The sequence below is a fragment of the Homo sapiens genome, chromosome 3 (assembly GCF_000001405.40).
Source record: "Homo sapiens chromosome 3, GRCh38.p14 Primary Assembly".
NCBI classification, from domain to species: domain Eukaryota; kingdom Metazoa; phylum Chordata; class Mammalia; order Primates; family Hominidae; genus Homo; species Homo sapiens.
This window is the reverse complement of record NC_000003.12, coordinates 127,258,000-127,280,817: the sequence shown is the minus strand read 5'-3', so window position 1 is coordinate 127,280,817 and position 22,818 is coordinate 127,258,000. Positions and strand designations below refer to the sequence as shown.

The following is a 22,818-nucleotide window of genomic DNA, read 5'->3' as shown; positions in this document are numbered from 1 at the left end:
GGGACTACAGGCGCCCGCCACTACGCCCGGCTAATTTTTTGTATTTTTAGTAGAGACGGGGTTTCACCGTTTTAGCCGGGATGGTCTCGATCTCCTGACCTCGTGATCCGCCCGCCTCGGCCTCCCAAAGTGCTGGGATTACAGGCGTGAGCCACCGCGCCCGGCCACCAGCGCCTCTCTTGAGCCCATGCCCCCTCCAAAGTGGGCAGAGGTGACTTAGTATTGAAGCACAGCATGAACCCCAGTGAGCACACTGCAGTGGGAGCTGCTTCTTGGGTTGCCACTGGGGTCTGTTATGCATAAGCCTACAAGCACCCTCTCAAACATCCTACGCTCGTGCCACTATCTCCTTGCTGGGCATCTGTCTGCAAGATGCACAGGCTTTAGGTTGTGCAGGCAAAGGTCTGCTAATAGGCTGCTTCCAGGGTGCTTCTACTGCCAAAATGCTTCACTAAACATTTGTACATGGTGTAAGACAGGGTCTCATTCTGTTGCCCAGGCTGAAATGCAGTGGTGCAATCACGGCTGACCACAGCCTCCACCTCTCGAGCTCAGGTGATCCTTCCACCTCAGCCTCCTCAGTAGCTGGGACCACAGGCATGCACCACTATGCTTGGGTAATTTCTGCATTTTTTATAGAGACAGGGTTTTGTCATGTTGTGCAGGCTGGTCTTGAACTCTTGAGCTCAAGTGATCCACCCACTTTGGCCTCCCGAAGTGTAGTGTGAGCCACTGCACCTGACCTTGTGTTTTTTAACTTTGTAAAATAAATTCTCAAAGTGAGATTCCTATGCCAACCAGTACGGCCCTATTTTATTTTATTTATTTTTTAATTTAACTTTTAAGTTAAATTAGACCCCAGTGTATGTTGTTCCCCTCTATGTGTCCATGCGTTCTCATCATTTAGCTCCCACTTATAAGTGAGAACATGTGGTATTTGGTTTTCTGTTCCTGTGTTAGTTTGCCAAGGATAATGGCCTCCAGCTCCATCTGTGTCCCTCCAGAGGACATGATCTCATTTTTTTTTGTCATGGCTTCATAGTATTCCATGGTGTCTACCACATTTCCTTCATCCAGTCTATCATTTATGAGCATTTAAGTTGATTCCATGTCTTTGCTATTGTGAATAGTGCTGTAATGAACATATGCATGCATGTGTCTTTATAATAGAACGATTTATATCCCTTTGGGTATATACCAGTAATGTGATTGCTGGGTTGAGCCATATTTTATTTTTATAGATACTAAGAAATTGTATTCAAATTAGGTGGCATCAATGCCAATTCCAACCTGCAGTGATAAGGGCACCTCTTCCCCACACTATCTCCCCAGCAATAAATGTTGGGACTCTATAATTTTTGCCAATCTCTTAGATGAAAGTATATTATCTCATTATCGTTCTAACTTGAATTTTCTTGGCTACTAATAAGGTTTAGTGTCTTTGTATGCATTTATTGGCCACTTTTGTATCTTTTTCTGTTAGTTGCTAATATATCTTTTTTACACAATTTTTTTGTTGGATTTTATATCTTTTGTGTATCAATTAGTAGGAACTCATGTTAGAAATTCATAAGTGCTACAGGTGTTTTTCCCATTCCAACCTTTCTCTTTTGGCAGGACTTGGGCTGTCTTTGGCCTGCCTGTGTGCCCAGCCTCAGCTCATAGCAGACCTCTTCCTCTGGCCCCGTTCCCTAGGTTGGTTTTCTGACTCCTGGCCTGGGCTCTGCTCCTGCCACCTGAGGGCCAGAGGGCCACATCTGCCACACAGGTGTCCACCTTGCAGTGACAGCAGTGTGGGAAATGATTTTCTAATCATTTCAATATCACTCTCAGTTGTTTCAGGATTTGATCATAGTTCATGATAAACTTGGCCAATTCACAGGTCACTGCTAGCTCAGTGCTCCCCCACTCCTCTTTCTTTGTGGGGTCACCTACATTCTTGGAGGGACTTGCCAAGATGCAGGCATGAGGAGGCTCTTCTAGTCCTAGGGAGACATCAGCATTCTAGATCCACTGCTGAGAGGTCTTTCTACTTCTATTCATGGCACTCTGGGTCCTCTGATCTTCTTCCAGATGACTCGAGTCTGCCCAGGAGAACTTGGATGACCCCCTGCCCTCAGGTGGGTAGAGACCCCACTGTCTGCCTCAGGGCCCTTTGCCAAGGTGCCCCCCAAAACCCATTTACCTCCACTCTTTACTCAAAGATGGCAGGATTCTAGCTCATGACCCATTGTCCTGCTTTTCTTTGCTTTGTCATTTCCCTCCCACTTCTATCCACTTCTGGCCAGAGGGCAAGTCCCAGGCCCCGCTCCTGCACCAAACACTCCCACTTTCTCCCCGACTGTCTCCCTCCCTCCAGCTCACAGGAGCTCATCTTGTCCTGCAGAGTGGGTAGAGTGTGGCCCAGATAGTCAAAGATCCTTTTATGCTTCTTCTCTGTAGCAAAACCTTCTCCCCAGAGTGTGCTTTGAGGCTTTGGATTTGGGTAAGCAAAAACTAGGATTTCAAGACTCTTTTTTTTTTAACTATAGATTTCAATAGTATATTTTGCAAGTTGAAAAAAGCACATATCTCAGCAGCACAGAATCACAAAATCATTTATATCACTTTTGGATTTAAAATCGTGTTGTAGTCTTGCACCACTGATGGACTGTGAGTGTAGAATGCTATTAATGGGTCTAGGAAGTTGGGAGAATGACTGGGGTAACAAGTGGGATCACATTTAGTGGCTCATAACCGAAAACAAAGATAACACTGGCAGAAACAAAACCTAAGCTTATTTCTCTCTCACATGGAAGAAGTTTGCTGGTTTGAAGTCCAGGTCTTATAGGGCAGCTTTGGGGGCTTTCGTCTTGGTGCTCCATTCTACGATGTGTCTTCTAGTCGCACAATCACCTCATGGTCCAAAATGGCTGCTAGAGTTCCAGACATCATGTCCTAGTTCCAAGAAGCAGGAAGTAGAGGGAAAAAAACCCCCAAAACTAAAAAAGTGCAACCTCTGAGTCATCTTTCTTAGAGCAGCCTTCCTGGAAGTCTAGCAGTAGTACTCTTTCCCTTCTGGCTCAGCAGCCCAAACTGTTACATGGTCATGCCTGGCTGCAAGGGAGGAAGAGAAACAAAATTTTTGAATCATTGCTGTTCCAAGTAATATCAGGGTCTGTCTTAAGGAAGAAGTGGAGAATGGATACAATGTAGCAAATAGCAGTCCCCAACATAACAGAGTAAAATAAATTGCAAAGAAAATAAACATCTGTTAATGCTTTAAAAATATTCCACCACAAACCATTTTTGTCAGGCATCCAAAACTATTAGTAATATTTTGAATAGAAGTGGGTTTGTTGAACATTTAATTTAAGTAAAAAATATTTTTACAATGTTGAGTCTTTTTATCCAAAGCTAAGGTATCCAAAATGCATGTCTCTGTTTACTCACTTGTGGAGAAAGGAGGGGCTGACTATTTTGGGGAGAGGGTTAGCTCCTCAACAACCTTCTCAGTTTTATTAGTATTGGGCACATTGCTATGAGTCTGTTTGGCTTTCTGTTTATTTCTGAGTCAAGTCTGTCCCCAACACAGCTTCCAGGCTGCTCCCCCTCCACCATCTTGTTGAGTGGCTCTCAATTCTGCATATCCATGGGAATCAGCTGGGGAGCTGAGAGGTGGATAATGGCCAAACCCTTTCAAACCACCTCAGAGGGGTGGATTTCACCAGCTTAGGGTGTGGCCTAGGCAACAGGGTATTCAAAACCTCTCTAGATGACTTGTATGGGTGGGCAACTTTTGCTATTCCCTAGTTCCCTGGGATTGTCCCTTGCAGTCTATCCTGAGATGGCTGCTAGGAGGGCTGAATGAATCCTACAATGTTGGCAAAGGTCCGGACTACCTTGCAAGGCAAAGAGAGCATGCACACATGAAATCCTAGACCATTTGCCTTCACTTTTACATAAAAGATCCAGCTGCAGAATGGTACCGAAATTAATGCTTCCATCCAGAGCTCACACTTCTCCTCCCTGAAGAACAAAATTTGGCCAAACCCTGAGCTGATGAAATCAGGAATATGTGCAAAAGGAGTATGGGGTGCTTTTTCTTCAGAGTCTGAGGGTCTAAGTAGTCCCAATGATTCAGGATACATTCTAGAGGAATGCAGGCTGAAGATGGTTGGTTACCCACCTGGAAGAGAGGACAGAGGAGGGAAAAGGTTTTTTCCTCTTTCTCTACAGTCTGAGGGTCAACGGAGTCCCAGTGATTCAGAATACACTCAAGGGGAGTGCAGGCTGAGGATGGTTGGTTACCCATCTGAAATGAGGGAAAAAGGCATTCCTTTGTTCCTTTCTCCTTCCAGTGAATACCCAGGGTATGTGAGGGAGAGAAAAAAAGGTGTCCCATTTCTTTCTTCTGACCTTATATCCCTGAGTTCCAGTGACCTGTGCAGGTGCTGACTGTGGGTGCAAGCGCAACCTTCACACATGAAGGCAGGGGAGGCATAGCCAGCAGGAATATTCGCACTCACTGTGTGGTGCCTAAGCCTCCCGCTGTCAGTAACCTTTGAGTTCCCTAGACCTTATCTGTGCCATGGATGTGAGCATGACCTCCATCCATGAAGCAGAAGGGCCCTAATCAGCAGGAATTAGTCATACTCACCTGTGCTGTGCCCTAGACTTCTGCTGTATTATGCCTTTGAATCCCTCAGATCTAGTTTTCCTTTCTAGGGCCTCAAACCAAAACTTGGGAAAAAGATGCCTCAGGAAGGTGTATGGATCCATTAAATTAGTCTCAGTTGGCCCTCACCAAATTGCAGCCAGCAACCAGCAAGGCAACTCCTCCATTGCTTCCCTGTCATAAACAGGTGAAGCTATGGGACCAGGTCCTCCTCAAACGAGGGAGAGAAAGGGAGTCCTGGAAACTGGGGACCTGGTCTCCTGAGATGCCTCCCAAAATTACAACTTAAGTGTAGGGGAGGGGAAGGTGCCTGGGGAAAAAGCCTCTTGTCCTATGCATATGGGTTCCTTCAGTAGGGGAAAGAAAACTCTCAATTGTTATATTCTTCTTGCTTCCAAGAATGGACAGGCACCACATTGTTCTCATTTACCCTCCTGATGACTAAGCCAAATGCTCATTCTACCCAGCAATATTTCTGTGGCTTACAACAACATTCTTAACATTTAACAGGAGAGGAGACAGGAACCATGACAGCTGGAAAGAAAGAGAGAGAGAGAGAGAAAGAGAAAGGAAGGCAGGCACCAGAGGTCCTTTTGCTGACACCCTAACAGGTGGTTGGGGACTGGAGTTAGTCCAGGGGCTTTCAGACAACACCAAGGTGTAGCCTCAGCCAGATACCTTCAATTGCCCTAGGACCTCCTTCTGGTACCACGGGACAGCCAGACCTCTGCGAAGGGAAATTGGTTTGGAACAAAGCCAACATTCCCAACACCTGAGGGTGATGGTGTCCTTTCCAGCAAGCCTGCCCTCTGTGTCATAAGTTTGCCAGCCGAGCTAGTCACTTTTAACTGGCTGACAGATGCTCAGTATTTTTCTTTCATTTTAACTATTGTGGAGTTAAGGACTCTGAAAAAAAGGACAAAAAGCAGATCCACTTTTACTCACCCTTCCACAGATCCCACATCAGCCCCCAAAATGTTATGGGATCTTTTGTGTGTCACTTTTCTGGCTAGAAACCTCTGTGGCTGGTGGCACCTTTGCCTGAGTTCTTGCCCTGCATCCAGGAAGAATGAGGTATGCAGACAAGTGGAGGGTGAGCAAGATAAAAAGGAGCCTTACTGAGTATTAGAACAGCTCAGAGGAGACCAACAGTGAGTAGCTCCTCTCTGTAGGCAGGTTGTCCCATCCAGTATTCAGCTCTCAGCAGAGAGGAGGCCTGGAGTGGGTGGAGTGGGTGGCTCCTCTCTGCTGGCGGGTCACTTCAGTGAGTGTTCAGCTCTCAGCATAGAGGAGACCCTAGAGAGCGTGGCTCCTCTCTGCAACTGGTTGGCCCCATCTCTGCTGCTCTCATCAGAAAGGAAGCCTTGAAGAGTGAGGCTCTTCTCTGCAGCAGGTCATCCCAATGTCTGCTGCTCCCAGCAGAGAAGAGGCCCTGGAGAGGGTAGCTTCTCTCTGCAGCTGGTAGTCCCGATGTCTGCGCAGGTCTCTGAAGCTCTCAGCAGAGAGGGTAGTTCCTCTCTGCAGCTGGTTGTCCAGTTGTCTGCTCAGCTCTGGCTGAACCAAAGGCTTTCATGGGCTTCAGAGGGGAGGAAGTGCATGTGGATTGGTCCGTGGGCGGCTATGTGCTGCCTGGAAAAGGCACCACAATTTCCCACTCTGGTTGGGCCTCACCAGGGACTGTCCTCTTCCACTCAGGAATCTGCTTGCCTACTGCGGCCCTTCATGGCACCCATGCCTGGCCCTGACTTTGCCCTGAGATTGGAGCAGGCACTGACAGCAGAGAGAAGCCAGCAGGAGCAGGCATTTCTGAGCCTGCCAGGGCAGGGGGCCTTCCAAGAGTTCAGGGATGCCTGAATCGGCACCTGTGGTTTGTGCAGATGCAGTTTAACATAGGGAGGGGTGTTGTGGTGGGGGAGCACAAGGCTTCTGCCTGCCCTGTGGAGCAGGAAGCCCAGATCTACAGCCACAGTTTGGGTGGCTGCAGCTGCGCCCAGGAGGACAGGGCTCCTGCCTGATCCCAGCCCCCAAGAGCACAGGGAGGCTCAAATCTGCAGCCACCCAAGTTGTGTGCAGCCCTGCCTGGGAGGGTGGGGCTCCTGCCTGTTCCATGGAGTAGAAGGCCTGGGTCTGCAGCCACAGGTTGGGCAGCTGCAGCAGCACCCAGGGAACTCCTGCCCCAACTCAGAAGGGGTGGAGCTCCCACTTGTCTCTGGCTCTTGCCGGCTCCATGGAGTGTGCATCCCCTGCCATGCCTCAGTGCTGCAGTTGGCATGATGGCAGTGGCAGGCTGTCTGGAGCAGCCTGCTGCTGCCATCACTTTGGTACCTTGCTTTATTTTGGTCAACATTATATCTTTGATATTATTTCATGCTGAAAAATTCCATTTTATGAATTGAAGAAAGTGTAAGTATTCCAGCCTTACCAACAGCAACATTTTTCCTTTTTTAAATTTTAGTCCCAAACAATGTGGCAACAAACACCATCCCACATGTCTTCCGGGTGCACATGAATGGGAATCTCTCTAGAGTGGGTACCTAAAAGTTGAGTTTCTAGATAGTAACACAAGTGCATCTTCAACTTTTCTAAGTACCTCCCAACTGCCCTTCCAGGCGGGCCATGCCCACTGGCCCCCAGCCAGCAGCAGTTTACACATCCCCTGTCCTTTGTCAATGCTTGGTACAGCTATACTTCTAAATTTATATATGATTTTGCATTTCCCTGATGAGCAGTGATATTGAGCAACTCATCTAATGATCCTTGTCCATTCTTGTTCTTTCTGGAATTCCCCTCTCATGCTTAGTCCACCACATCACTAACTTTAAAATGGCAATAATAACATCATTTCCCCAGCAAGTGCTATTAATTAAATGAGACCATGAAGTGAAGTGTTTGGAATGAGTCTGTGCCCCCTTGTTGTGGGTGCTAAGTACTCTATACGTTTGTACTGTGATGCACATATGCATACATTATATCAAGGTTTTACTTGAAGCATTTATGTGTTCTATATCCTTAATTAACTTCTTGTTATTTTTCTTATCTATCAATTTCTGAGAGACAAATACTATAATCTCCCACTATGAGTAGGAATTTGTTCATTTTTCCTTATTTTTTTGTTCCAATTTTTGCTGTTTAGTAATTTAAAGGTTAATTGTTGAGGCACACAAGTTCAATTTTTTATATCTTTCTGGTAAATTCCTAGTGAAGTTTTCGTGTTATCTTTATATACTATCTTTTTTCCCAACAGTACTTTTTTAAAAACTTATATGCTTAAATACTTTTTAAAGTTTACAATAGATTTATATTAACATAGCTATAGTTGTGTTCAAAATTTATTAGCAATTACTTAATTTATTTTTTTCATCCTTTCATTACTAAAGTTTGGACTAATTTGTTGTGAGTGTGGTTCCTATAATTAGCACACTTAAAAATTTAGCTTTATCTCACCTGAGGGTTTGTCTTTAATTTGAGGGTTTAGTACTCGCATTTACTTCTGTCATCTCCTTTGGGGGCATTTACCATGGTTTTCCTTTGTGCCTCTCCCACTATCTTTCCTACCTTCCACTGGTATGATTGAATTTTTTTTCTTTCTGCATTTCACCTTTTCTGGTTTCAGAGTTCTCCAGTGTATTAGGCTGAACCATATGAAATTGCCATTATGTTGGTCAAAATTAGTCAGATATCAGCAATTTCATATGGTTCAATCCAACACCTCTATTCTTTTAATGATTACTCTTATTTTTTAACATACATACTTGACTCAATGAAGTCAACAGTTAGTGAAGCTCTACCTTCTCTTGAATGCTATAAAGACCTTAGAATATGTTTACTCTGATAATCTTTTCCATTTTACATGGTATTATTATGTAATATTTTAGTTTCATTTCATCATCACCAACATAATCCTTATTAATACCATTGATATTTACTGTCAATACTTATTTCACTATACATCTGTGTTCTGCCAATTCATTTGCTGTCTTTTCATGCATTACTCTTTTGTTTGGAGCTCAATTTCTCCCTTCCTGAAGTACACTCTAGAGATTTTTAGCAAAGAACTTTTAGCGATAAACTCTTTCAGCCTATCTGAAAATGTCTTTGTTTCACTGTCATTCTTGAATAATTATTTGGCTGGATATAAAATTCTAGTTTGGCGTCTATTTTCTTTCAGTACTTTGAAGATATTTTTCTGTTGTTTTAAGCCACAGTTGCTGCTGTTCAGAAACTTCTTGATAGTTCAAGATTTGTTCTTTGGAGGCAAACTTTTGTCCCTCTCTGGGTTCTTTTATAATTTCTTTTTGTCTTTAGTGTTCTGAAGTTTCTCTATGAGAAGTTCATATGTAGAAGACAGTCTTCAGTGAGAAACTGAAACCCTGGGCCTCACCTCCTGAGGACCTGGAGTCTGGTTTTAACTTTGCCTCTTGATGTGGGGACCATAGGCCAAGAAGCTGACACAGGGTGGGTTCCTGGAACACCCACCCTCAGCACTTAGTATAAACCCAAATAAAGCCACAATGCAAGGGTGCTTTAACAACCTAGCCACCATAAAATTCCCACAGTAAATACAAAGCTTGCTTAGAATCAACCAGACATGCACACACACGGACACCCATAAAGAAACTATCCCATCAGGATTGACATTTTACTGGTTCAGGAAAGATTTGTTTCCTGAAAAGTTTAGTTAATTAAACAATCTGAGAGAAGTTATTAAACAAGAATATTCAAAATGATTAAAGGAATGAAAGAAGGCTTATAAATTAGAAATAAAAACTAAATGACACCCTGTAACAGCCAATTTAGAAAAGAACAAAACATATTACAGTGGAGCCCTTTACCCACAGGGATGCGTTCCAAGACCTTCACTGGATACCTGAAACTGTGGACAGGACAAAGCCTGTCTATAATGTGATTTTTCCTGTTCATGCATACCTATGGTAAACTTTAATTTATAAATTAAGCACAGTGAGAAATTGGGAACAATAACTCTTAATAAAATAGAACCCAACCTCCTAAGTGCTGCTTAGTACTTCTTTTTGTTCACACTTAATCTTTAATGCTTATTGCTTATGGCATAAACTGTATGCTCCAAGTATTTCAGGGCTCTGGCTTTATTTTGTGGCAGGGTCAGGGAGTGCCAAACTGCTTTATTGGAGGAATGGAATACAAATGTAAGAGGAAAAATATAAATGGATGTTTTTGTGCAGGGTAAAAATCATATAAAGTTCTGGTTACCTAGTGCTGTGCAACAACTGCCCCAAAACTTAGTGTCTCAGAAGCACTGCTCTATTCCACTCATAGTTCTATAGGGAAGGAACTGAGGGAAGGCTCTGCTGGGCAGTTCATCTCTGCTCACACAGCACCAGCCAGGTGGCTAGGACTGCTGATCCACCGCCAAGGCAGCTTCTCACTCGTGTGTTTTAAGATTCATTGATTACAGGTGTAGCTATAGGTCATTAATTTTCATTGCTATATAATATCCAATATCTGAATACACCTCAATTTGCTTGTCTATTCTCCTATAGATGGGCTTTGGTTGTTTCCAGTTTCTTTTCCATTATGAACAGTGCTGCCACAATCGTTTTGGTAGATAATTTCTGGTGGACTTGTGCACATTTTTTTCTTGGGTATATATCAAGGAGTAAAACTGCTGGATTGCAGTGCTTGCAAATGCTGAAATGTATAAGATTACACTGAAGTGATGATCCCAAATTACATTCCTGTTGGCCATGTTTGAGAGATCCTGTTGATACATATTCTCTTAAACACTCAGTGTCATCAAACATCTTTGGTTTTGCCAGTAAAATAGAATCCCGGGGTTTGTACCTACGTATATGAATCACTGGTAGCACTTGGGATCTGCAGACATTGTCTGTTCTGTGCAGCAGCTGTTTTAATTTTTGCCCATTGAGTTTTTTCCTTCTTGTTCTTACTGACTTGAGATGTTTTCTGTTTCACCTTGATACAGATTCTTTGTCAGAAATATGTTTTTTAAGCATATTTTCACACCTTGACTTACCTTTTTACTTGATCTTAATTGTCTTTCTATTTACAGAAGTTCTTAATCACAGTGTTTTCAAATACATCAGTCTTTTTCTTTTATGTTAGCACTTTTTGTACTTTAAGAAATCCTTTCCTATCTTGAGATCGAAATTCTTACCTATATTTTCTTCTAAAGATTTTTAAATTTTGCTTTTGACATTTGCTTTGACATAGTTCTTAATCTATCTGGTGTGGATTTCAGTGTGCAGGTATAGTGTGAGGTGGAAACATAATTTAATTTTTTCATATGGGTAGCCAATTATTCCAGGTGTATTTGTTGAAAAGTCACTTCTTTCTCCACTGGTTTGCCATTCAATTTGACAACCTATGTCATACATAGGTGCATGGATCTGCTTGGGGATGCTCTATTTGTTCCATTGGCCAATTTGTTTACTCCCGCGCTAATACTACACAGTATTCTTTACTAAAACTATAATAAATCAAACCTGACAGAGTAGCCTGCCTTTCTTCTTTAGAATTGTCTCAGATATTCTTGGCCTTTTGTTCTTTGATTTTAATTTTAGTAGCAAACTGTCAAGTTCTGTAGAAGATTCTGTTTTTATTGGAGTGGTGTTAAACCATTGCATAAATTTGAGGAGATTATATTATAATAACAAGTCTTCCAATTGATAAACATGGGCTATCTCTTCATTTATCTAGGTCTGTAAAAATAAATGGGGCATATTTAAGTGGGACATGATAGATGCGTCAGGGAAATTTTACAAATTCCTTTTTACAGTCCTTTACAACTTTTGTTAGACTTATTTCCAATTACATTTGTAATTTTTGTTGCTACAAAGTGGTAAAACATTTGTCAGTGTCTTGATGCTGTACAGAAATGCAACTGACTTTTGCATATGGATCTTATATTCAGCTACATGTCTAAGCTCTCCTAATATTGCTAGTACTTTGTGTCCAAATTGTTTTTGATTTTCTAAAAATAAAATCATAAAATCTGCAAAAAAACAAAAGATGACTGCTTCAGTTTTTCCTTTCCAATCCATATGTATTCAATTTTCTTTTTCTTGTCTTATTTCACTGTCTAGGATCTCTAATATATTACCAAGTCAAAGTGGCAGCTTTGAGCATGCTTATTTTTTGCCTGATTTTAAAGAGGCTGCCTGATTTTAAAGAGTCCTCTTTGCCAGCAGCCCCTGGTGGGATTTTCCCTGGCAATCTCGTTCATGTGCATCCCTCCAATGAGGATGATGACTCCTCAAGCTGCTTTCATCCAGTGGTCCCCGTGGCCCCAAGTCGTGTATCTTATGGACGACTCAAGACTTCCTTTGGACATCACATTGTTCACCATGTTCAAAGACAAGTGCATTATTGTTCCCACAGTGCTGCTGTTCCTGCAGCATTCTCTGTATCTGTCAACGTGTGATAAGTATAATATTTGGGCTTTGACCTCAGTTCCTGACACTGAGCTCCTAAGGTTAGGAGCTTTTGTTATTTTGTTTTGTGTCCCCAGTTCCTGCCACAGAGCTTCTAGGACCTTGTAGTTTCCTAAGTGATAGAGGTGATAGGAGTGTCTCTTGTTATTCATAGCAAGCCACTTTCAACCGTATTTGAGTTTATGCTAACAACGTGAATAGCCTCAGGATGGAGAGGGACTGGTTGCCAGGGGAACCAAGGCTGTGATTAGAAGGTTGGAACTTTCAGCCCCACCCCCAGATCTCCAAGGAGAGAAGACTAGAGATTGACTTAATCATGAGTGACCAGTGATCTAATCAATTATGTCTATGTAATGGAACCTCCGCAAAAACCCTAAATGGAGTTCAAAGAGCTTCCAGGTTAGTGAATGCATCCATATGACAGGAGCATGGTGCACCCCAGACTCCAAGGGGACAGAAGCTCCTGTGCTTGGGACTCTTCTCAGCCTAGCCCTATGTACCTCTTCCTCTGGATGTTCATTTCTATCCTTCATAGGTAATAGTAAGTAAAGCGTTTCAGAGTTCTGTGAACCATCCTAGCAAATTATTGAACCTGAGGAGGGAGTCATGGAAATCTCCAATTTGCAGCCTAGTTGGGTGACTTGCAATGGATATCTGAAATAGGAGCAGGATTATGGGACTGAGCCCTTCACCTGGTGGGTCTGCACTAACTTCCAGTAGTCAGTGTCAGAATGAAATTACATGGTAGGACACTGTATTAGTCTGTACTCACATTTCTATAAAGAACCACCTGAGACTGGTTAATTTATGAGGAAAAGAGGTTTAATTCACCCACAGTTCCACAGGCTGTACAGGAAGCATGGTTGGGAAGCCTCAGGAAACTTACAATCATGGTGGAAGGTGAAGGGGAAGCAAGCATGCCTTACCATGGTGGAGCAGGATAGCTTGAATGGGGAAGGGCTACACACTTTTAAACAACCAGATCTTGTGGGCACTCACTCACTATCACAAGAACAGCAGTGGGGAAATCTGCTCCCATGATCCAATTGCCTCCCACCAGGTACCCCCCACAACACTGGAGATTATAATTCAACATGAGATTTGGGTGGGGACGCAGAGCCAAACAATATCAGACACCCAGTTGATGTCTGCAGAAAATTGGAGAATTGCTTGCTGTGAAAAACCCACATATTTATTTGGTGTCAGAAGTATTGTGAGCAGAAAAAGAGTTTTTATTTACAGTTCCTCCCCCACCCACCCAGAAACCTTGCCATTGCCCCCATTCCCTCTCTTTAGTCACCAACATCCCATATAGTCTACTTCCAAAAGAGATCTTAAAGGTGTCCACTTCTCCCTCTTCCTACTGTGAATTCACCACACCTTCCCTGCATCAGGCGCCAGCACCTTCCTCCTGGGTCAAAGCTACATCCCTCCAACTTGTCTCCTTGCCATCACTTTGCCTCTCCCAATTTCTTCCCCACCGTTTGGTTGAATAATGCTTTCTAAAATACATAGAATAGCAAACCTCTCCCTAGCCCCAAAGCCTTTAATTCTCGTTCGTCTTGAAGTGTCTACAAAGGAACTTCTCAAGCCCAGCCTGCTAGATTATCCACCCCTTCTTTCTCCACGGCCCCCTCCCTAGAGGATCTCACTGAGGCACGCACCCTGCATAGACCAGGGTGAAATAGACCCCTTACACTCTAGTCTATTACTTAAGCCCTGACTTGTGTCCATGTAATGTGAACTCACCTGCTCTACCACTCCTTGGAAAAGACTGACAGAAGGCACCAATGAAAGGAGAAGATGCTTAACATGTTGCCTGGCATCTGTAAATATTGGCCACAAGCAGTTCTCACAAGAATCCTGAGTGAGGTTACCTTTTTTTCTTTTTTTTCAGCAGCCCAAACTGAGGCCAGTGGGTTGAAGGGATAACTGGAAAGCAGGAACAGGGAGGGGCAGGTAGTTCCTGCTGCGGAGTGAAATCTCACATGTGGGAAGGTGGGAATGCCATTAGTCTCTGCCACAAGGGGCTGTGGGAGGTGGCTGGGAGACAGCTACAGGCCCTTCACTGACCCCACTCAGGGCCAGGGACCAGCAAGGGAGAGCTTGTTCCCTCTCCCAGCACTCTGTTCTCTCCTCTCCCCCACTAGCCTCCCTATCTGCTGACATCGTCCTGGCATGGGCATGGTCTTCATGGTCCTACAGACCTGGGCCTGCATCCTGGCCCTGCCCTGGGCTGATCATGTACTCAGCTCATTGCTAAACACAGCAGTGCCCGGCCTCCTTGTCCCCACCGACAGCTACTATGATGGTGCCAACTTTAGGGCAGGAGGGAAACCCTCTCTTTGTCTTAAGCATCATCCTCTGCCCCAGGGTGGGCCCTGCTCTGGCACTTGGGAAGGCAGTGTTATTTCCCGTTCCTGTGCAGGGCCCTGCCTGCCTTCTCCCGGCTGCCGCTACCGCTTCCTCTCATTAAAACGTCCTCCTGCCCACGGGCAGCCCCTTCCTGCACTCTTAAGCTGCCTGTCCCTGTCTGCTCGGTGAAGTGGGCAGGCTGGATTATTAATAGTAACATTAATAACCCACATTTATTGAACACTTATGGTGTACTTGGCTTTGTGCTGAGCACCTTAAATGCATCATCTCAATTGCTCCGTGCCCCGCAAGCTGCCCTAGCACTCGTTTTCTTGTAAGAGTCTTTAGAATTCATGAGACTCCAGTTTTCACTCTTGAGCACATAGAACTCCAGAGAGAACACGCTGCTGGCCCAAGGTCACCTGGCAACTTGATAGTGAGAAGCATTCTGTGCAATGGGCACAGCCACTCCTGCTTCCGAGACAAGCTGCCAAGTGCCTCTCACTGTGCCTGGCGCCGCACTGAAGCCAGCACTCGGGGAGCTGCATCCCCCGGCTCCTTACCCTGCTGTGCCTGCTCCTCCTGCCAGAACTTGGGCCTGCCCTGGGCCCTCTGAGAAGAGTGTCTGGCTGTGGCATACATAGCTGGGGTCAGCCCAAGGCTACAGCAAGGCCAAGTTCAGGCAATGATCAGAGTGTGGCTTGGTGTGGGGCCAGGGTTGGCCATCGGGGTCTGCCTAGTGCCAGGGGTCAGTATGGTTGGTTAAAAGGTCAAGGTGGGCTGAGGCCAAGGGTTAAGACCATGGCTGCCAGAAGCTAATATATGGCTGGTGTCGAAGTCAAGGTGTAGTCAGGAGTAGGGGTCAGTATGTGCCTGGGTTCAGGAGTCGGTCTGTGGCTGAGTCAAGTGTCGTGTGGAGCTGGGATCAAGAGTCAACAGGTGGCCAGCTGCCTTCAGAAAGCTGCACTCCTCCCAGACCCTTGTCCTGGCCCTTCTGCTCCACCCAGCCTCCCCTGTGGCCCCAACTGCGAAGGAAGGTGCTGAAAGGAGCATAGCGTGAGGCAATGAAGGCCAATCTGATGGGAAGCTGGCTGACAGCAGGACTGTCCAGGGGGCCCTAGGGCTGATCCTGGAGCAGGAAAGACTTGGAGCTGGAGGAACAGGGGGACCTAAGGAGTCCATCCTGCCCCTCCCTCTGTGCCCTGGCCCTGCCGCTCCCTCTGCCACTGAGTTGCAGCTCCAGCCTCATCCCTGTACCCGCCATCCCTAGGGCCTCTCCAGGGGCCACTAAGACAAAGTCAGTCTGCTCAGGCTGCACCCAAGGGGGATGTTCTTGGGGTGGATGCCCTTCCTGTGGAGCCGTAGCTCCCACCACCCATGCAACGTGGCTAGGGCCCGAGGCCCCCGTGGGGCTCCAAGGAGAATGCCCACTTTCCCCTCCTTCTCTCCTATGCTTATGCCCCTGCTGCTCTCCCCAGCAGGACGCTTCCCTGCCCCAAAGTGGAAACCCTCAAAGCCCAGCTCCCATACCTCCTCCTTTCTGGAGCCTACATGGAAACCTTCTTCTTTCCTCAAAGCCCAGCTCCTATACCTCCTCCTTTCTGGAGCCTACCTGGAAACTCTCTTCTTTCCTCAAAGCCCAGCTCCTATACCTCCTCCTTTCTGGAGCCTAACTGGAAACCCTCTTCATTCCTCAAAGCCCAGCTCCCACACATAACTCCCCTCCAAATTGGCTTCCTGGGCTGCTCACACTGTCTCATCCGTGCAGGCTGGAGCCTCTGAGGATACTCGGGACAAGGTTAGGCAGGTCACAGGTCTGCATTAGGGAACAGTGCATCCCTCTTTAGGAGAAAGTTCTTTTTTGCCACATCTCAGAGAAGGGCTCCGGGCCACTGCTGTGTGGTCCCGCCTTCCTCACAGTTGTGAGTCACTCTGTTTAAAGAAAGAGGGAGGAAAGGGTGGGCTCAGAGCCAATGGGATGGAGGTGCTACTCTGAGGCACCCAGCTCTAAGGTTCCAAGTCCCAGCAGCCAGACTTCAGCCCCATGAGCTGCCTGGGCGATGCCCACCCTGCCCAGATCTTGTCTTTGTTGTCCTGGTATTCATATTGTTTTTAGAGCTCCTTTCTCTTTTTCACCTGTGGCAGTTGATGCTGCTTCTTCCTGAATAACAGTCCTGTAAAATGTCCTTTTTAAATGCCAGAAGAGGTCGGAGTGGGTGCAGTCCAATGGAGCTGACCTGTTTGCTGGGAAGCCCTGGCAGTCTGCTTTCCTGTAGCTGTGGCTTGTCTGCCCCGGGCCTCACAGCCTGCAGGAGAGTTGGACTCATTAAAAATAATTGCCTGGCCGGAGTGGTGAGTTCCCTCGGCAGCACCCGCTCCAGCCAACTCTGGCTTCCTTGGCAGGCGCCCTCCCCTTGTCCAGGGCTGCCCTGCTGCTGCTGCCACAAAGCAGAAACCCAGTGGCCCCTGGGAACCTTCACTGGAGGTGAGGGGGGGACCTGGGGTTGGAGTCCATCGGGTAAGGAGAGGAAGCAAAGGCCGTGCAGTCCCAGGCACTCTGGCTCTGGCACAATTCTGTGGGGCTGAAGGGGTCACTCCCATGTTGCTGGTGGAGAAAGCAGGGTTCAGAGAGGTGCAGGGCTTGGAGACACACAGCTGTGGAGGGCACATGGCTGTGTCTGGGCGCCTGGGGCAGAGCCAGAGGCCAGGGATGGGGGGCTCATGCCAGGTGTGCTGGGTGGGGGGTGGGCAGCTGGACCTCAACAGGTCAGGGCTTCCAGGTCACTGCACCTGGACCAGGTGGGAGACAGGGCCACAGCCACATGCTGGCCATTGCAACCTAGAGGTCTGGACAGGGATACTGAGGCAGGAGCCTAGTGCAGGTGGGCAGCAGAGCCCCCAGGGTTCCCAGAGGCCAAAGGGACATTAGACCCACAGCACAAGGCCTGATGCCAGGTGACCCACATCCTGCCTGCCCTGGCCAGGTGGCAGCCGGACACTGTTTAAATGCCTCTGCCACCTGGCCCTGAAACTTACTGCTCTCATGGGAACCAAGAACTCTCTTGGTGTTTGGGCAGGCATGGCCACCTGCTGGATGTGACCCCGGGAATGCCAAACAGGTCTTCCTGCTCCAAACATGCACACAGAATGGTGTCCCCCTAAATCCGCACGTTGGAGCCCTCACCCCCAGTGTGGCTTCTAAGGAAGTAATGAAGGTTAAATGAGGCCTTAAGGGTGGGGCCCTGAGGTGAGAGGATCAGTGTCCCCATAAGAAGAGACACCAGGGAGCATGCTGTCCCCACACATGCACAAAGAAGATGCCCTGTGAGCACACAGTGAGAAGGTGGCCATCTGCAAGCCAAGGGGAGAGACCTTGCCAGACACTGTCCCTGTCAGCAACTTGATCTTGGACTTTCGGCCTCCAGACCTGTGACAAATGAACCTGTTGTTTAAGCCCCCCAGCCTGTACACACATGCACACACACACACACACACACACACACATGCAAACAGTTCTCTAGGGGTGCGAACACACATGAAGTCTTTTCCTGTGTCCCTCAGCTGGGGGGGTCCCCTTTTGGAGAGGGCCCATGAGTTGAGAGGCAGGGGTTGCGGAGGTCACATCACACCTAGAGGGGCCTGAGCCAGAATCCCAGAAGGGGATGTTCCTTTCCAAGCTGCGTACAGGGACTTTGGCAACTTACCATTTGGGTCTCAGTTGCCTTATTTGTAAACAGGGATAAAACTCATCTCCAAAGGTGCAACTCACATGAGCAATGCTTTCAAAATGCTCCACCCTGCACAGAGTATGTGAGGCATGGACACTGTAATTTGTTAATTATATGAGCATCCTAATGATGAGAGGGTAGACTGAGAAGAGATGCACAGACAGGACAGTGCTGCATGTGAAGGCCACCCAGACTGAGGAGGGGAGAGCAGGGAGGGAAGCATGGGTGGCTGGAATTGGGGTGAGCAAGGAAGGGATGGGGCCCTTCCTGTGGATCAGCACACATTTACTTAAAGACTGCGAGGGCTCAGCGCCTAGCAGTGGCCTTGGGGAGGCCCACCTCTCAGTGGTTGGGGACAGCTTCAGCTCCTCGGCTGTGAGATCTGGGGAAAGATGGGAATCAGGCTGGTCTAGCCTGGCCTCTGTGCATCTTCTGTTTCTCCTGCCTCATATCCATGCAGCATGAGCCACCATACACAGAATGTACAGGGTAGTGCACAAACGACCTTGGCAGCAGAGGTCAGAGCTGGCGGGGACCCAGGTTCTAGCTGGATGTACCTTGGAATCAACCACTTGCGGGGGGGTGGGCTCTAAGAGCCACGAGGTCTGAGCTGCAACCCTAGAGAACCTGCCGCATGTGTAACTGTGTTTATGCCATACACAGCTGACTGTGAGCCGACAAAGTCCTATTAGGGTTAGCCACTGTCAGTGCATGTTAACAAAAGGAACAATTCACTGGGAAGACATTAAAATCTTGAACTTGTATGCACAGAATAATAGGAAAACATAACCACTAAACACATGACGGCCTGTTCCACTGCACTAATAATAAAAGGCCAATGGAAAGAGTGTTGGCCTGAGACTTTCACCATCTTGGTGTGCAAAGTGTAAAAAGAGTGGATGCTGCTCTCTATACATACTCATGTGTTGAGGGGATGACATCAATTGGCATAACCTATGGGGAAGCCAAGTCTATCAGATTAAAACTTGCATACTGTGCCTTGGCGATCCCTCTTGTGTATGCAAAATAGTCTGTTAAGTCAGGCAGATCTAACGTGTGGCATATCTGGACAGTGAGTTCTGGGACCCATGTGGGCTTTTTCCTCTGTGCGGGTCTCCAGGAGTCACCACGACAGGTTAGGCTGGACTCCCAACACACCCTCAGCTGCCAGCTCTGGAGAGGGAGGTCAGAGCAGGCTGAGAGGGTGGTGGCATCCTCAGTAGGCACAGCTGATGCTTCACACTGATGGCTGCCAGGAGGAGAGGGAGCCCTGAAAGTCACAGGGGAAGGAGGCAGGATGGTGTTTCCACAGAGCAGGGCTTGGGCATGTTTCTATCACTGGGAAGAAGCCAGCAAGAGCAGGGAGGAGCAGGAGGGGTTATTCACTCCTTCCACATCCTAGGCCGAGAGAGGGAGGCAGCAGGAATTGCTTTGTCCAGAAGAGGAATACTTCCCTATGAGAAAGTGTGGGGTGAGGACCTGTCCTCCCAGATCTCAGGGAGATGCTGACTGGGCCATCCTGCTTCCCAGGCCCGGCCACCACTCCAAGAATTTCACCAAACCCCTGTTCTGCCTCCCTCTGCCAGAGCTGCCTTCTGTTGCAGGCCAACAAATTCCCTGACTGATCCAGAGCACAAGACCAAAGGCAGGGTAGAGGCAGTTGGCCAGGCCTTTCCCAGGATGCCGCGTCTGCCTGCTACCAGGGACAGCTTTGCTCCCCTGCCCCCTGTGCCACTGTGCCTATGAATGAGCCTCCCCCTTTTTTCAATAATCATATTTTTAAATTTCTAAAATCTCTAATTAGTTCTTTAATATATAACTGCTAATTCTTATTTAGACAGTGATATCCTTCCTTATCTCTGAGGATAGCAATTTCCAATTTCATAAAATAATTCCTGCTCTGGTTGCTCTGTTAAAGCTGGCTCTTTGGGTAAAGCCTTTCCATTAGTCTGATCCATCATTTTCCTCCATGGCCCTCTCAGCGGCTGTATCTTCACTGCGAACGTCCCAGGCCCTGCCCACCCAGGGGGTGGTTTTCCTCTTTAATCTGACCCAGCTCCTCTCTTATTTTCAAGGAATTCACACATTGGCCCACCGAATGTGGCTGTTCTTGTTTTAGACTGTGTATTTGTTAGATTGTTTTCACATTTTTGAAAAACCGCTTTGTGGATTTAGCATGGGAGAGGAGATGGCACCTTGTTCCAAGCCCATCGCGCAGGATGGGAATTGGCTCCATGGCTTGTAATGTCACTCATCATGTTCTGTCCCATTTTTGTTCTACTTCTATAGCAAACATAAATGTGGTCTTCTTCAAAGATATCATCTAACTGGTGATCTACGTTCTATAGGAAAACAATTGATTTTGAGTATATTGCTATTGTGTTCAGCCACTTAACTGAAGACCTTCAATCAATTATGATTAGCTTATCACTTAATTATCTGTATAAGAATTAGATTAGGCAGCAACTAGACAGACCCAAAATGTGAATGACTTACACAAAAGCCCAAAGGAGTGGCCCAAGGTCAGCACAGCGGGCTCTCCATGATATCCCCATGTTCCTTCAAGCTCATTGTCCTCCCCTCCAGGATGTGGCCCTTGCCTGCATAGTGCAAGGTGGGCAGCTGCAGCCGTCAAGTAAGCTCTGGGCTGCAGCACCGAGGAGAAGAAAGAGGAGGAAAAGGGTGGAGCATGACTTTAAGGAGGTTTCTGGGAAGCTGCCACACGGCCACACATAGCTGTGAGTGGGGAAATGTTATTTTCCTCCAGGTGGCCATGCTAAACACAAGATTTGATCACTACGGAAGAAGGAGGGAAGGGATATCAGCAGACAATTAGCTGTCTCTGCCATGATTCATTGACAAATAATAACTGTTTTACCTCCCCACTTTAAAGACCAGTGCCTCCTATATTTGTTCCGGAGACGAGAGACGATGGTGTGCATGATGACCTCTTCAAAGCCCAGTGGTCACTAGGTCCTCGTCACTCCTCCATGTATGCACCCCACACAGGGAAATGAAACAGAAAGGAGATATGTTTTGAGAGCTGTCCAAGGAGACTTGCTGCGGGGCTGGATGGGAGAGGTGAGGCTGAAGGACAGAGGCTGACTCTCCCCGGTCTCTCCACGTGCATGACCAATGGGAGACACGGCTTCAGCCAAGTCTGGGGAGACAGGAGGAGCCGCAGGCAGTGAGGGAGGGTCTGAGTTCAGTGTTTACCAGCAGAACGTGGGATGTTTTTCAGAGAAGATGTTTCCCAGAGATCACCGACAGACCAGGAGCTGGAGCAGGGCTGCTGGCCTCACATGGCCGCTGCGTCTGGGCCTTCCCCTCACCTCCTGTTTCCCATCCCCAGTGGACCCCTGATGATACTGGGTCCCAAGGGTCAGCCCCTCAAGAGGGGCCCCTTCTGTGCCTTCCTCACTGACAATGCACAGGCTTTCTGGACCCCAAGACCAGCTCAGAACCTGCACATAGTAGGTGCTCAGGAAAATTTGCCATTGGAGCAAATAAGAACAGAGAAGAGGAATAGAGTATTGAGTCTTGACAGACCCAAAGAGCCATACATTTCTCCCTTGTCCCTACAGGACCCTGAAAACCCCCAAAGCAGGAATAACAGCTAACACTTATTGACTGGAATCTGAGCTCACTAAAAGCCTCCATCCTGGAGTTGCTGGCTCTGTCACCGCTGAGATGAGTCTGCATGTCCTGCAGTTTTGACTTCAAACCAACATCTGTGGTCAGCTCTCCACTCCCTGCCAATACAGCCAGCACTGTTCTGACAGCAGTCACTAAGCTTGAGGTTCAGTAGCACTGGGGGTGTGTACCGGGGGCCCTGTTGAATGGGTCTTCTAGGAGACTCATGGCCTATATTTTAACTCACACTATCACAAATGTGCCCTCTGAATGTGGTGAACATCTACCAAGCCAGTTTCACATAAGGTCATGGGTAAGCTCATAAACAATGCAAGCATCCTCTTATTTATTTGAGTCTCTCATTTAATCCCAGGATGACTGAAGAGATGGGTGACTTATATAGAATGAAATACTGATGTTCCATGTCCACATGAGAGGTGGACAAGAGGCCCTCGGGGGACAGGACAGGCCTCTCAGTAAGCAAGACAAGGAGAGATGCAGGCAGGTTTCCTAGAGGGAATTTCTAAGCAGATTCTAGATGGCTGGATTAGGCTGGATGTAGTAGAAACAAGAAAGGCATTCCAGGGTGAGGGGACAGCATGTGGAAGGCATGGGGTTAAGGGGGTGAGCTCACTCTCTGAGCCCTGTGTGTCCTTCTCTCCTACTAGGGGCGGTGAACCAGGACTTTGTACGTCAGGACACATCTTTTTCAAAACTCTGGGGGGACTCACATTGATTGGGTCTTCATTAGAACCTCCATTCTTGAGTGTTAGTGGGAGTTTGGCTGGGGGCTTCATCAACCCCAAACAACAAACTTTGCAGGGGGTGAGGGAGCAGGCCTGGATTTGGGGTCGGGATTAGGGATTGGGCAGATGTGAGAGTGCTGGGCTAGAGCGGGTTATCTGACACTGGACAAGCTCAGGGCCTGGGGGTGGGCTGGGGAGGGAGGTCCCAGGCTGAATAATACCCAGAGGCTGGCCTCCTAAAGGGAATTCCAGGCCTGGGTCGGAGGGAC

The 22,818-nt window shown here is 47.2% G+C and overlaps 1 long non-coding RNA gene across 1 annotated transcript, besides 4 other annotated features; it reads right to left on the bottom strand.

Moving 5' to 3' along the window:
- Positions 1-2,580: 2,580 nt before the first annotated feature.
- On the bottom strand, positions 2,581-4,294 carry LOC124906281 (uncharacterized). Its single transcript, XR_007096064.1, has 2 exons — positions 4,169-4,294; positions 2,581-3,096 (listed from the first exon to the last, which is right to left on the bottom strand). It is a non-coding gene; the product is annotated as an uncharacterized LOC124906281 (long non-coding RNA).
- Positions 3,364-3,865: an enhancer, noted in NCBI's record as "NANOG hESC enhancer chr3:126995796-126996297 (GRCh37/hg19 assembly coordinates)". NCBI's record gives its function as "activates a minimal SCP1, AML or CMV promoter by ChIP-STARR-seq in naive H9 embryonic stem cells {active_cell/tissue: H9 hESC(naive)}" and the evidence as "EXISTENCE:reporter gene assay evidence [ECO:0000049][PMID:30033119]".
- Positions 6,202-6,716: an enhancer, noted in NCBI's record as "H3K4me1 hESC enhancer chr3:126992945-126993459 (GRCh37/hg19 assembly coordinates)". NCBI's record gives its function as "activates a minimal SCP1, AML or CMV promoter by ChIP-STARR-seq in primed H9 embryonic stem cells {active_cell/tissue: H9 hESC(primed)}" and the evidence as "EXISTENCE:reporter gene assay evidence [ECO:0000049][PMID:30033119]".
- Positions 15,140-15,640: an enhancer, noted in NCBI's record as "H3K4me1 hESC enhancer chr3:126984021-126984521 (GRCh37/hg19 assembly coordinates)". NCBI's record gives its function as "activates a minimal SCP1, AML or CMV promoter by ChIP-STARR-seq in naive H9 embryonic stem cells {active_cell/tissue: H9 hESC(naive)}" and the evidence as "EXISTENCE:reporter gene assay evidence [ECO:0000049][PMID:30033119]".
- Positions 15,641-16,141: an enhancer, noted in NCBI's record as "H3K4me1 hESC enhancer chr3:126983520-126984020 (GRCh37/hg19 assembly coordinates)". NCBI's record gives its function as "activates a minimal SCP1, AML or CMV promoter by ChIP-STARR-seq in naive H9 embryonic stem cells {active_cell/tissue: H9 hESC(naive)}" and the evidence as "EXISTENCE:reporter gene assay evidence [ECO:0000049][PMID:30033119]".